The 14,447-nt window shown below is 40.8% G+C and overlaps 1 long non-coding RNA gene across 3 annotated transcripts in view, besides 1 other annotated feature; it reads left to right on the forward strand.

The window, feature by feature from the left end:
• The window catches only part of LOC101927209 (uncharacterized), a 46,966-nt gene that overhangs the window by 1,667 nt on the left and 30,852 nt on the right, over positions 1–14,447 (forward strand). For 2 of the 3 annotated variants that reach the window (XR_007058113.1, XR_007058112.1), the window contains exon 2: positions 552–610. This is a non-coding gene — a long non-coding RNA (uncharacterized LOC101927209). Of the gene's footprint in view, positions 1–551; positions 611–4,254; positions 4,315–14,447 lie in introns of those variants that run through there. The other variant, XR_007058114.1, reaches the window with a different exon arrangement.
• Positions 3,414–3,915: an enhancer, noted in NCBI's record as "OCT4 hESC enhancer chr4:49168367-49168868 (GRCh37/hg19 assembly coordinates)". NCBI's record gives its function as "activates a minimal SCP1, AML or CMV promoter by ChIP-STARR-seq in primed H9 embryonic stem cells {active_cell/tissue: H9 hESC(primed)}" and the evidence as "EXISTENCE:reporter gene assay evidence [ECO:0000049][PMID:30033119]".

The following is a 14,447-nucleotide window of genomic DNA, read 5'->3' on the forward strand; positions in this document are numbered from 1 at the left end:
GTGGAATGGTGTACTGTAGGAAATACGCATTATGTACATTTTAAAAAACGTAATTGTAGGCCAAAATTGCTGGTTTGCAAGATGCACTTTCCATGATGTTCAGGTATAGAAAAGCAAGAGGTACTGTCACGGGAACACTCATATGAAGTTATTTGTGGAATCTACATATTAATAGGAAAATAGTTAATACAGCCCAGTATATTTCTATAACATTTATTTTAGTGAACTTATGTTTCTTTGTATTAAATTATTAGATTATATCTTTAGATAATATTGTTACTAAATTAGTAGGTAATACATATATTTATTCAAAAATAAATTGTGCATCTAATGTCTACCAATTAATGTACTTGTCTATGTATCTTATCTTAACTTGAGCCTCTGCTGCCCCTAATGAGGCGTGAAGAACTCTTCTCCCCTGGAGAAGTTTTTCTTTTTCAGGAGGGAGGAGGGCTTTCCCAGGTAATGTCTCTAGAGCGTTGGGCAGAAGAATCTGGGACCACACCACACCAGTTCTCTCCTTAATCCACGTCATTTGCCTTCTATCCCAGCTATGTTTCCAGTGTCCTCTGGGTGTTTCCAAGAGCAACAAGAAACGAATAAATCTCTGGTGAGTTGCTTACTTGTTCTTCACTTTGTTTTACACTGTATTTTCTGAGTTTATGGGTGTCTGTGAATTAAAAAGGAAAAGTAGAAATAAGTAAAACTCAGGTTGAAGGAAATATACATAAATAAGATAAAGCTGACCTGTAGATATAGGCAGGTTATAAGAGCTTAGAGTAGTCTCAGTTGGGTGCAAATTTTCCTCTGATCTTTCTGATGCCGAGACAAAAAAGGCAGTCATATTTGTTACGTAATTGGAATGGAACCCGAGAAGAGAGCATGCTGTGTTCTTGTGGGACAGGAAAGATTGTGTGCACCAAGTCCGAACCACCACCTTCATTGGTGACATAGATTATGTGCTGGAACATATTTCACACCGGCCTGGCAGTAACCACTTGTAGTGTTGTGCAGTGGAAACGGTCATCTTCCGCTAAAGCACAGCGTGTTGTGCAGTGGAAATGGTCATCTGCCGCTAAAGCACAGCTTCCATCGTAAGGTGTGCTCATTGCTCAAAGAGTGTGGTCCCAAACAGCTTTTGGGAGGTCCTCCTTGATTCATGGATGAAACCCAGAACATCTTGAGGACTGAGTTAACCATAGGCCCTTAAATAACTCTCCAGACATTTTTCTTAGTTTATCTCTACATGCAGGGTGTGCAGCAGCCTGTTCAAAGTCATATTTTCTGGGAAATATTTCCAGTGTTTATTTGCACTTTAGCCCACTCTGTGTAGTCTTAACTTATTTCTTCTAAACTCACCATTAACCTAAATAATAGTCAAATTTAGGGGGACTGTATTTGACTTACTCAAGTCTTCTACCATAGTTGAAACTGTAGTACCCGAGTAAGTTAGAGATAAACGCCACACTTTGAGACGAATTCAGGGGTCCTTTATTAGCTGGTGACTGAGAGACGGCTAATGCACGAAATTCTCTCGGCCCCGAGGAAGGGACTAGATTTTCTTTTATAATTTGGTTTAGAGAGGGGAGGGGGGATTCTAGCTGCAGCAACTTTACAGAAGAAAAAAACAGACAAAAAAGTTAAAAAGACAGATGGTTACAGGAAAACAAACTGTTCCAGGTGCAGGGGCTTTAAATTCACCACAAAGTGATAGGTGAGGGGGCTCTGGGCATTATCTGCCAGACAAATGTGGGGCTTTATGATACTATCTCTGAATAAATTGCTGGGAACTGCAGACATCGCTTGTCTAAGCACTTTATCAGTTAATTGCACTCTTTGATATGTTGAAAGTCAACTTGCACAAGTTAAAGTCCTTGAGGAAAGGGGGTGGGTAGGGAGCCCTTGATGTCTTGTAAATGAAGGAGCCAAATGGAGTTTGTCTGGTTTTCTCAGCTAAGGGAGAGTCTATTCATATTAAAAACAAGGTTATCTATCTAAGGAAGAGTCTATTCATGTTACAACGTTGGGTATTACAAAACATCTGTTCATGATCTGGAAATTCATCTGTGTTAGTTCTGTTAAAAGAAAAACTTTAAAGGAGTTTAATAGAGCAATAAACGATTCACGAATCAGACAGTCCCCAGAATCACAGCAGATTCACAGAGACTCCAGCGCATTCGTGTGGTGGAAGAAGATTTATAGACAAAAGGGAAATGGCATACTGAAATCGGAAGTGAGGTACAGAAACAACTCAGTGTTTGCCTTGTTTGAACACAGTTTGAACATTTGGCAGTGCCTGAGTGGTTGAAGTTTGGCCATTGGGATTGGCCAAGATGTAGCTGTTGTTCAAGATGCATACTCTTAAGTTAGTTTTTCATTCTTCTATACCTATTAAGGTAGGTTACAGTTCATCCACAATGACTCATATATAGAATTATGGAGTCCTTCTCAGGCCATACTTAGTTCACTTTAACAATGCCTTCCCTTTGGTTATTTTCTCAATTTTGAGAGATTGGCCAAAACTTCAGTCACTGGTGTCACTATTACCATTGCAAATGTACTTACTTGGTTTAGAAACCCACTGGGAAATAGACCAGTGAGATTTGAAAAGGTGGAACAAGGACTTGAGTAGAAGGTGTCTTCTTATGCTGGAACATCCTGTTTACAGGAGAAAAACAAAACCTGGTTTGTTCTAGGATTTATGTGTTTCCTTAAAGTCTTAGTTTGATTATGTTACATTTAGCATGAGTGACTCCATTTTGGTTTGGTTTGGTCTGTTGGGACCTATTGCATGAGTTTAGTTCAAAACAATGACCTCCCATAATTTTGCTTAAAAAATTCCTCCTTTTGGCTGGGCGCGGTGGCTCACACATGTAATCCCAGCACTTTGGGAGGCTGAGGTGGGCAGATCACGAGGTCAGGAGATTGAGACCATCCTTGCTAATAAGGTGAAACCCCATCTCTACTAAAAATACAAAAAATTAGCCAAGCGTAGTGGTGGGTGCCTGTAGTCCCAGCTACTCAGGAGGCTGAGGTAGGAGAATGGCCTGAACCTGGGAGGTGGAGCTTGCAGTGAGCCAAGATTTTGCCACTGCACTCCACTCTGGGGGACAGGCCAAGACTCTGTCTTAGAAAAAAAAGTCCTCCTTTTCAGTCAAGTTCTCACTTAGTTGCGAGTGTGACTAAAATATAGGGCCTTAGCATCACTCTTAGTTACCATTGTTTTGGGTTCCGGGTTTAGCACGTCATTCCCATTGTTTTGGGTTTCTGGTTTAGCACATCACTCCCATTGTTTTGGGTTCCAGTTTTAGCACGTCACTCCCATTGTTTTGGGTTCTGGTTTAGCACGTCACTCCCATTGTTTTGGGTTCTGGTTTTAGCACGTCACTCCCATTGTTTTGGGTTTCTGGTTTAGCAGGATGCTCCCATTGTTTTCAGTTTCTGATTTAGCAGGATGCTCCCATTGTTTTGGGTTTCTGGTTTAGCAGGTCACTCCCATTGTTTTGGGTTCCAGTTTTAGCACGTCACTCCCGTTGTTTTGGGTTCCAGTTTTAGCACGTCACTCCCATTGTTTTGGGTTTCTGGTTTAGCAGGTCACTCCCATTGTTTTCGGTTTCTGGGTTAGCAGGATGCTCCCATTGTTTTGGGTTTCTGGTTTAGCAGGTCACTCCCATTGTTTTGGGTTCCGGTTTTAGCACATCACTCCCATTGTTTTCATTTCCGGTTTTAGCACATCACTCCCATTGTTTTGGGTTCCAGTTTTAGCAAGTCACTCCCATTGTTTTGGGTTCTGATTTTAGTGCACGTCACCCCCATTGTTTTGGGTTCCAGTTTTAGTATATCACTCTCATTGTTTTGGGTTTCTGGTTTAGCACGTCACTCCCATTGTTTTGGGTTTCTGGTTTCGCAGGTCACTCCCATTGTTTTGGGTTCTGGTTTAAGCACATCACTCCCATTGTTTTCATTTCCGCTTTTGGCACGTCACTCCCATTGTTTTGGGTTCCAGTTTTAGCAAGTCACTCCCATTGTTTTGGGTTTCTTGTTTAGCACGTCACTCCCATTGTTTTGGGTTCTGGTTTTAGTGCACGTCACTCCCATTGTTTTGGGTTCCCGTTTTAGTACATCACTCCCATTGTTTTGGGTTTCTGGTTTAGCATGTCACCCCCATTGTTTTGGGTTTCCGGTTTAGCATGTCACTCATAGGTTATGGTGTCCTTACGGTTGCCCTTTTTTTTTAATCTCTTGTCATTCCAGTTGAAGAGATACCATTTGATATTTTAGAGATGCCTGCATGCAAACTCTTAAAACATTTGAGTAAGTACAGTGCAACAGGGAGACTCTTATGACTGTTGGGATAACACCAAGAATTTGGTATATGCTCCTAACTCAGGGTCCCCATAAATCAAACCACCTAAAATCAAATAGATTAAAGAATGAATTAGATAAAGAGTTTACTTGCTTAACTAAGTGGGTTTTTTTGTTAATTCCCTACAACCAAATTTTTATAATACCCCATGTTTTCTCCACATGCTGTAAGTGTTAGCAGCTGCACAGATACTTAAGATAAGTGTCTCATGATAGTAGAGAAGTCTTGATCTGTGATCGTGGGAAAAGCTGTTCACATTAAGGATGCCATCTTCTTCTGGGGGGAACTGTCCTTGTTAGCTTTACCTTAAGGGTTCCAATGGGTATATGGTTCCAAGTGTGGAAGGACCTTTCTGAGTTGTGAGACTATGAACCCAAAGTTTAAGGTTTTAAAGTTTTGCTGTCATGTGGATGGCAAGGGCAGTCCTTCTCTGATGTTCTCAGAAGATCCAGTCATCAGATTCCAGATTTTGAAGGAGTTGACTGTCCTCAGCGAACCATAAAAGGCTTTCTTTACCTGGTGAAAATACACTTCAGGGTAATAATGTACTGTTTTAACATCAACTCTCTCGCATGGAAGAGCTTTTATACAATCAGAAAACATGCACTGAAAATGACAACTGAATCAAATCCCTTTATAAAATGTTTAAATGGCCCATCAGGTAACCAAATGTACCTGAAGTTTTGATTGTTTTCCTAGAAATATAGGTTTGACAAACTAAACATTGGTTATAAACTATTTTAGCAGTTTAGAAATCACCACACCAATATATTTAATTTGGATCATTTTCTCTTTCCATGATGAGTTATGGAATGCAGAACTTTTAATAACAAAAGTTTTAAGGACTTAAGAAGGATAAGGTGGCCATCCTGGTTCTTCATAAGTCTGTGCTTAATTAACATTAGACTTACATCCTCTTGAATACCAGCTGTTTCTCCAAATTACGTGCATGGCACTGGTAACTGATGAGTAGTTATAGGTGATTTGACTTAGACCATGGAGTTTATTTAAATTATATACCTAAACAATTTCAATATTGGTGATTTAGCATGCAAATGTGGCAAAATATTTCCTTGGTATACAATTTTTGTTTTACTTAGGTTAGCAGTTTTATAAACCAGTTGGTCTATTTATTAAACTTTTGGGCTTTTTTTTGAGACAGAGTCTCACTCTGTTACCTAGGTTGGAGTGCAGTGGCAAAATCTTGGCTCACTGCAACCTCCACCTCCTGGGTTCAAACAATTCTCTTGCCTCAGCCTCCAGAGTAGCTGGGATTACAGGCACAAACCACCACACCCGGCTAATTTTTACTAATTTTTACATTTTTAGTAGAGGTGGGGTTTCACCGTTAGCCAGGCTGGTCTCAAACTCCTGACCTCAAGTGATCCACTGGCCTTGGCCTCCCAAAGTGCTGGGATTGCTGACGTGAGCCGCTGCACCCAGCCTAACTTTTGAGAATTCTTAACCTGTCCAATTCTTGGGGTATCAGGGAACTTATGGGGAATTTTTACCCATTATATTAAAGTTATTAAAAATCTGTGTTCACGAGTGTTTTTCAGGATCCTTTTCATTCTTTCATGAATCTTCTAAGAGACACCATATTCTAGAATTTTGCATGCTTGTGAAGTTTTTAGAAACTGCATCACCATTAAGCAATTAACTGTGGAAATGACTTTAAATAGTTATAGATAAAGACAATTGACAAGGAAATTTGGTTATTTCTGTGGTCTACAATAACTTAATAACCATAATTAGGGTGGATGTGGTGGCTCATGCCTGTAATCCCGCACTTTGGGAGGCCGAGGTGGAAGGATCACGAGGTCAGGAGATCGAGACCATCCTGGCTAACACAGTGAAATCTGTCTTTGCTAAAAATACAAAAATTAGCCTGGCATGGTGGTGGGTGCCTGTAGTCCCAGCTACTCAGGAGGCTGAGGCAGGAGAATGGCATGAACTCGGGAGGTGGAGGTTGCAGTGAGCCAAGATTGCACCACTGTACTCCAGCCTGGGTGACAGAGCAAGACTCCTTCTCAGAAAAAAAAAATACAAGAATTTTAGAAATCCTACACAAATTTAGAATGGATTGATGACATACACTGAATATAACCTAAAGAAGGTTCAACATTATTTTTTATTTTGACAGTGCTAGCCATGTGACTTAACATGTTAAATAGTCCTGTTTACCTCTCTTTTGGGTGCTTCAGGGGCCTCTGTAGTATCCCAAAGTTAGAGGTCAGAACATAAAATTTTGAAGTTGTAATTTGATTTTGGGAAGCCTATTAAATATATTAAAGGTTTAAACACTTGATGTTATGAAATAGAATTCCACGTCAACGTAAGTCATTCATTTACCTAAAATCATGACTTAAAAAATTTTTAAAGGGCAAAAATCTTTACTCATTGATAGGGGGAAGACTTATCTCCACAAATAATCTGCCTCTTGTTTTTCCTTTTTTTTGGTAGTTTATTTACAAGGCAAACAAATTTTTCATTTTTTAATTTTATTTTATTATTATTATTATTATTATTATACTTTAAGTTTTAGGGTTTATGTGCATAATGTGCCAGTTAGTTACATATGTATACATGTGCCAGTCTGGTGTGCTGCACCCCTTAACTCGTCATTTAGCATTAGGTATATCTCCTAATGCTATCCCTCCCCCTCCCCCCACCCCACAACAGTCCCCAGAGTGTGATGTTCCCCTTCCTTTGTCCATGTGTTCTCATTGTTCAATTCCCATCTATGAATGAGAACATTCAGTGATTGGTTTTTTGTCCTTGTGATAGTTTACTGAGAATGATGATTTCCAATTTCATCCATATCCCTACAAAGGACATGAACTCATCATTTTTTATGGCTGCATAGTATTCCATGGTGTATATGTGCCACAATTTCTCAATCCAGTCTATTGTTGTTGGACATTTGGGTTGGTTCCAAGTCTTTGCTATTGTGAATAGTGCAGCAATAAACATACGTGTGTATGTGTGTTTATAGCAGCATGATTTATAGTCCTTTGGTTATATACCCACTAATGGGATGGCTGGATCAAATGGTATTTCTAGTTCCAGATACTTGAGGAATCACCACACTGACTTCCACAATCGTTGAACTAGTTTACAGTCCCACCAACAGTTTAAAAGTGTTTCTATTTCTCCACATCCTCTCCAGCACCTGTTGTTTCCTGACTTTTTAATGATTGTGATTCTAACTGGTGTGAGATGGTATCTCATTGTGGTTTTGATTTGCATTTCTCTGATGGCCAGTGATGATGAGCATTTTTTCATGTGTCTTTTGGCTGCATAAAGGTCTTCTTTTGAGAAGTGTCTATTCATATCCTTCACCCACTTTTTGATGGGGTTGTATTTCTTTTCTTGTAAATTTGTTTAAGTTCGTTGTAGATTCTGGATATTAGCCCTTTGTCAGATGAGTAGGTTGCAAAAATTTTCTCCCATTTTGTAGGTTGCCTGTTCACTCTGATGGCAGTTTCTTTTGCTGTGCAGAAGTTCTTTAGTTTGATTAGATCCCATTTGTCAATTTTGGCTTTTGTTGCCATTGCTTCTGGTGTTTTAGACATGAAGTCCTTGCCCATGCCTATGTCCTGAATGGTAATGCCTAGTTTTACTTCCAGGGTTTTTATGGTTTCAGGTCTAACATTTAAGTCTTTAATCCATCTTGAATTAATTTTTGTATAAGGTGTAAGGAAGGGATCCAGTTTCAGCTTTCTACATATGGCTAGCCAGTTTTCCCAGCACCATTTATTAAATAGGGGATCCACTCCTTGTTTTTGTCAGGTTTGTCAAAGATCAGATAGTTGTAGATATGCAGCATTATTTCTGATGGCTCTGTTCTGTTCCATTGGTCTATATCTCTGTTTTGGTACCCGTACCATGCTGTTTTGGTTACTGTAGCCTTGTAGTATAGTTTGAAGTCAGGTAGGGTGATGTCTCCAGCTTTGTTCTTCTGGCTTAGGATTGACTTGGTGATGCAGGCTCTTTTTTGGTTCCATATGAGCTTTAAAGTAGTTTTTTCCAATTCTGTGAAGAAAGTCATTGGTAGCTTGATGGGGATGGCATTGAATCTATACATTACCTTGGGCAGTATGGCCATTTTCATGATATTGATTCTTCCTATCCATGAGTATGGAATGTTCTTCCATTTGTTTTTATCCTCTTTTATTTCATTGAGCAGTGGTTTGTAGTTCTCCTTGAAGAGGTCCTTCACGTCCCTTGTAAATTGGATTCCTAAGTATTTTATTCTCTTTGAAGCAATTGCATATGGGAGTTCACTCATGATTTGGCTCTCTGTTTGTCTGTTATTGGTGTATAAGAATGCTTGTGATTTTTGTACACTGATTTTGTATCCTGAGACTTTGCTGAGGTTACTTATCAGCTTAAGGAGATTTTGGGCTGAGACAATGGGGTTTTCTAGATATACAATCATGTCATCTGCAAAGAGGGACAATTTGACTTCTTCTTTTCCTAATTGAATACCCTTTATTTCCTTCTCCTGCTTGATTGCCCTGGCCAGAACTCCCAACACTATATTGAATAGGAGTGATGAGAGAGGGCATCCCTGTCTTGTGCCCGTTTTCAAAGGGAATGCTTCTAGTTTTTGCCCATTCAGTATGATATTGACTGTGGGTTTGTCATAGATAGCTCTTATTATTTTGAGATAAGTCCCATCAATACCTAATTTTTGAGAGTTTTTAGCATGAAGCATTGTTGAATTTTGTCAAAGGACTTTTCTGCATCTATTGAGATAATCATGTGGTTTTTGTCTTTGGTTCTGTTTATATGCTGGATTACGTTTATTGATTTGCATATATTGAACCAGCCTTGCATCCCAGGGATGAAACCCACTTGATCATGGTGGATAAGCTTTTTGATGTGCTGCTGGATTCGGTTTGCCAGTATTTTATTGAGGATTTTTGCATCAATGTTCGTCAAGGATATTGGTCTAAAATTCTATTTTTTGGTTGTGTCTCTTCCCGGCTTTGGTATCAGGATGATGCTGGCCTCATAAATTGAGTTAGGGAGGACTCCTTCTTTTTTTATTGATTGGAATAGTTTCAGAAGGAATGGTAACAGTTCCTCCTTGTACCTCTGGTAGAATTTGGCTGTGAATCCATCTGGTCCTGGACTCTTTTTGGTTGGTAAGCTATTGATTATTGCCACAATTTCAGATCCTATTATTGGTCTATTCAGAGATTCAACTTCTTCCTGGTTTAGTCTTGGGAGAGTGTATGTGTGGAGGAATTTATCCATTTCTTCTAGATTTTCTAGTTTATTTGTGTACAGGTGCTTGTAGTATTCTCTGATGGTAGTTTGTATTTCTGAGGGATCAGTGGTGATATCCCCTTTATTATTTTTATTGTGTCTATTTGATTCTTCTCTCTTTTTTTCTTTATTAGTCCTGCTAGCAGTGTATCAATTTTGTTGATCCTTTCATAAAACCAGCTCCTGGATTCATTAATTTTTTGAAGCGTTTTTTTGTTGCTATTTCCTTCAGTTCTGCTCTGATTTTAGTTATTTCTTGCCTTCTGCTAGCTTTTGAATGTGTTTGCTCTTGCTTTTCTAGTTCTTTTAATTGTGATGTTAGGGTGTCAATTTTGGATCTTTCCTGCTTTCCCTTGTGGGCATTTAATGCTATAAATTTCCCTGTACACACTGCTTTGAATGTGTCCCAGAGATTCCGGTATGTTGTGTCTTTGTTCTCGTTGGTTTCAAAGAACATCTTTATTTCTGCCTTCATTTTATTATGTACCCAGTAGTCATTCAGGAGCAGGTTGTTCAGTTTCCATGTAGTTGAGCAGTTTTGAGTGAGTTTCTTAATGCCGAGTTCTAGTTTGATTGCACTGTGGTCTGAGAGACAGTTTAATTTCTGTTCTTTTACATTTGCTGAAGAGGGCTTTACTTCCAAGTATGTGGTCAATTTTGGAATAGGTGTGGTGTGGTGCTGAAAAAAATGTATATTCTGTTGATTTGGTGTGGAGAGTTCTGTAGATGTCTATTAGGTCCACTTGGTGCAGGGCTGAGTTCAATTCCTTGGTATCCTTGTGAACTTTCTGTCTTATTGATCTGTCTAATGTTGACAGTGGGGTGTTAAAGTCTCCCATTATTATTGTGTGGGAGTCTAAGTCTCTTTGTAGGTCACTCAGGACTTGCTTTATGAATCTTGGTGCTCCTGTATTGGGTGCATATATATTTAGGATAGTTAGCTCTTCTTGTTGAATTGATCCCTTTACCATTATGTAATGGTCTTCTTTGTCTCTTTTGATCTTTGTTGGTTTACAGTCTGTTCCATCAGAGTCTAGGATTGCAACCCCTGCCTTTTTTTGTTTTCCATTTGCTTGGTAGATCTTCCTCCATCCTTTTATTTTGAGCCTATGTGTGTCTCTGCACGTGACGTGGGTTTCCTGAATACAGCACACTGTTGGGTCTTGACTCTTTATCCAATTAGCCAGTCTGTGTCTTTTAATTGGAGCATTTAGTCCATTTACATTTAAAGTTAATATTGTTATGTGTGAATTTGATCCTGTCATTATGATGTTAGCTGGTTATTTTGCTCGTTAATTGACGCAGTTTCTTCCTAGTCTTGATGTTCTTTACAATTTGGCATGTTTTTTCAGTGGCTGGTACCGATTGTGCCTTTCCATGTTTAGTGCTTCCTTCAGGAGCTCTTTTAGGACAGGCCTGGTGGTGACAAAATCGCTCAGCATTTGCTTGTCTGTAAAGTATTTTATTTCTCCTTCACTTATGAAGCTTAGTTTGGCTGGATATGAAATTCTGGGTTGAAAATTCTTTTCTGTAAGAATGTTGAATATTGGCCCCCACTCTCTTCTTGCTTGTAGAGTTTCTGCCAAGAGATCAGCAGTTATTCTGATGGGCTTCCCTTTATGGGTAACCTGACCTTTCTCTCTGGTTGCCCTTAACATTTTTTCCTTCATTTCAACTTTGGTGAATCTCACAATTATGTGTCTTGGAGTTGCTGTTCTCGAGGAGTATCTTTGTGGCATTCTCTGTATTTCCTGAATCTGAATGTTGGCTGGCTTTGCTGGATTGGGGAAGTTCTCCAGGATAATATCCTGCAGAGTGATTTCCAACTTGGTTCCATTCTCCCCGTCACTTTCAGGTACACCAATCAGATGCAGATTTGGTCTTTTCACATAGTCCCATATTTCTTGGAGGCTTTGTTCATTTCTTCTTATTCTTTTTTTTCTAAACTTCCCTTCTTGTTTCATTTCATTCATTTCATCTTTCATCACTGATACACTTTCTTCCAGTTGATCTCATCATCTCCTGAGGCTTCTGCATTCTTCACATAGTTCTCGAGCCTTGGCTTTCAGCTCCATTAGCTCCTTTAAGCACTTCTCTATATTGGTTATTCTAGTTATACATTCGTCTAAAGTTTTTTCAAAGTTTTCAACTTCTTTGCCTTTGGTTTGAATTTCCTCCTGTAGCTCGGAGTAGTTTGATGGTCCGAAGCCCTCTTCTCTCAACTCGTCAAAGTCATTCTCTGTCCAGCTTTGTTCCATTGCTGGTGAGGAACAGCGTTCCTTTGGCGGAGGAGAGGTGCTCTGCTTTTTAGAGTTTCCAGTTTTTCTGCTCTGTTTTTTCCCCATCTTTGTGGTTTTATCTACTTTTGGTCTTGGATGATGGTGATGTACAGATGGGTTTTTGGTGTGGATGTCCTTTCTGTTTGTTAGTTTTCCTTCTAACAGACATGACCCTCAGCTTCAGGTCTGTTGGAGTTTGCTAGAGGCCCATTCCAGACCCTGTTTGCCTGGCTATCAGCAGTGGTGTCTGCAAAATCGTGGATTTTCGTGATCCGCGAATGCTGCTGTCTGATCGTTCCTCTGGAAGTTTTGTCTCAGAGGAGTACCTGGTCGTGTGAGGTGTCAGTCTGCCCCTACTGGGGGGTGCCTCCCAGGTAGGCTGCTTGGGGGTCAGGGGTCAGGGACCCACTTGAGGAGGCAGTCTGCCCATTCTCAGATCTCCAGCTGCATGCTGGGAGAACCACTGCTCTCCTCAAAGCTGTCAGACAGGGACATTTAAGTCTGCAGAGGTTACTGCTGTCTTTTTGTTTGTCTGTGCCCTGCCCCCAGAGGTGGAGCCTGCAGAGGCAGGACGGCCTCCTTGAGCTGTGGTGGGCTCCACCCAGTTCGAGCTTCCTGGCTGCTTTGTTTACCTAAGAGAGCCTGGGCAATAGCCGGTGCCCCTCCCCCAGCCTTGCTGCTGCCTTGCAGTTTGATCTCATACTGCTGTGTTAGCCATCAGCGAGACTCCGTGTGCGTAGGACCTCCGAGCCAGGTGCCAGATATAATCTCCTGGTGTGCCGTTTCCTAAGCCCGTCAGAAAAGCACAGTGTTAGGGTGGGAGTGACCCGATTTTCCAGGTGCTGTCTGTCACCCCTTTCCTTGACCAGGAAAGGGAGCTAACTCCCTGACCCCTTGCACTTTCCTGAGTGAGGCAATGACTCACCCTGCTTCAGCTAGTGCACAGTGCACTTCACCCACTGTCCTGCGCCCACTGTCTGGCACTCCCTAGTGAGATGAACCCAGTACCTCAAATGGAAATGCAGAAATCACCGGTCTTCTGCGTCATTCATGCTGGGAGCTGTAGACTTGAGCTGTTCCTATTCGGCCATCTTGGCTCCTCCTCCCATTATTTTTTAATATTTTCTGAAAATCTTCTTTAAAGAGAGAAAGCCAAATGTCACCCACTTTTTCATAAAACCTTATAGGCCAATCTAGTATTCTTTTCTTTTTTGGAGGTGGATTTTCCCTCTTGTTGCCCAGGCTGGAGTGCAATGATGTGATCTCGGTTTACTGCAACCCCCTGCCTCCCAGGTTCAAGCAATTCTCCCGCCCTAGCCTCCTGAGTAGCTGGGATTAGAGGCATGCCACACCATGCCCAGCTAATTTTGTGTTTTTAGTAGAGACGGGGTTTTTCCTTGTTGGTCAGGCTGGCCCTGAACTCCTGACCTCAGGTGATCCACCTGCCTCGGCCTCCCCAAGTGTTGGGATTACAGGCGTGAGCCACTGCCCCTGGCCATTTTTTTTTAAAGATAATCTCTTGCTCTGTCACCCTCCTCTCCATATTATAGCTCTGGGGCCAAGCTGCATCACAATGGAAATCATGGAGCCACAGGAAGAATCCACTCAGCTTTGCCACATGCTGCCCAAGAGGTTGCTTGGAGTAACCAAATTAACATTTTTCATTCTGCTCAGAGCAAAATACATGTGACAAAACATAGACACGAGCCACTTTGCTTAGCACCCAGTGTCAAACTGGTAAGACCCAAACTTGCTCCCAGATAGGCCGTGCCACCTCTAAATCTTTTTAGAAGCTTCTGCATATTAATAGGCATCCCTAGATGAGACTAATTTGGGAGCCCTCATTTTTAAATGCACTTCAGGGCATTATTCATTTGGAATGTTCCACTGTAAGTTATCTTTAGTAAGATTTTGCCATTTCTGTAAGACTTTGCTGCTTCCCAGGCCTAATGAATTAGCCAGAAGGAACTAAGTTTTCCAGAAATTAAGGATCCTATTTTTACCTAATATATTGGCTTTACTCCCAGGTTCCCTTGATTGACTTAGCCAATGATTTTTTTTTCCTACCTAAGCATGCGAGGAAAATGAAACAAAGGGGTAGAACACAAAAATCCCTGTGAATTTTGAAAAGCCAAATTTTACAATCCTCCAATATTATCATTTGCTACCACTTTCCTTCTGACCCATTCAGATGTAGGGGGCCTCTAACTGGAACTGGATTCAAGCCAGTTAACTACTGGATCAAATCTGATCCTGGACCCGGTCCCGTTTCTGTCATAACTTCTAAAACATCCAGCCAGTCATGGCTGGATAGCAGTTTGGAACAGAAATTTGCTCAAAGAAACTCAGAGCTCAAAACACAAATCCATGGAGCTCTGAAATCCGAGAGAGAATTTACCATGATCCCCAGCTGCTCTGAGAGGTCAAAGGGCACAAGTGTTACAGAATCCTGTGACGTCACTTTTCTGCCTGAAACCTCTGGCTGGTGGCACCTTTACCTGTGTTTTGCTCGGGCCCACTGGGTT

This window comes from Homo sapiens, chromosome 4, assembly GCF_000001405.40.
Source record: "Homo sapiens chromosome 4, GRCh38.p14 Primary Assembly".
In the NCBI taxonomy this organism is placed as follows: domain Eukaryota; kingdom Metazoa; phylum Chordata; class Mammalia; order Primates; family Hominidae; genus Homo; species Homo sapiens.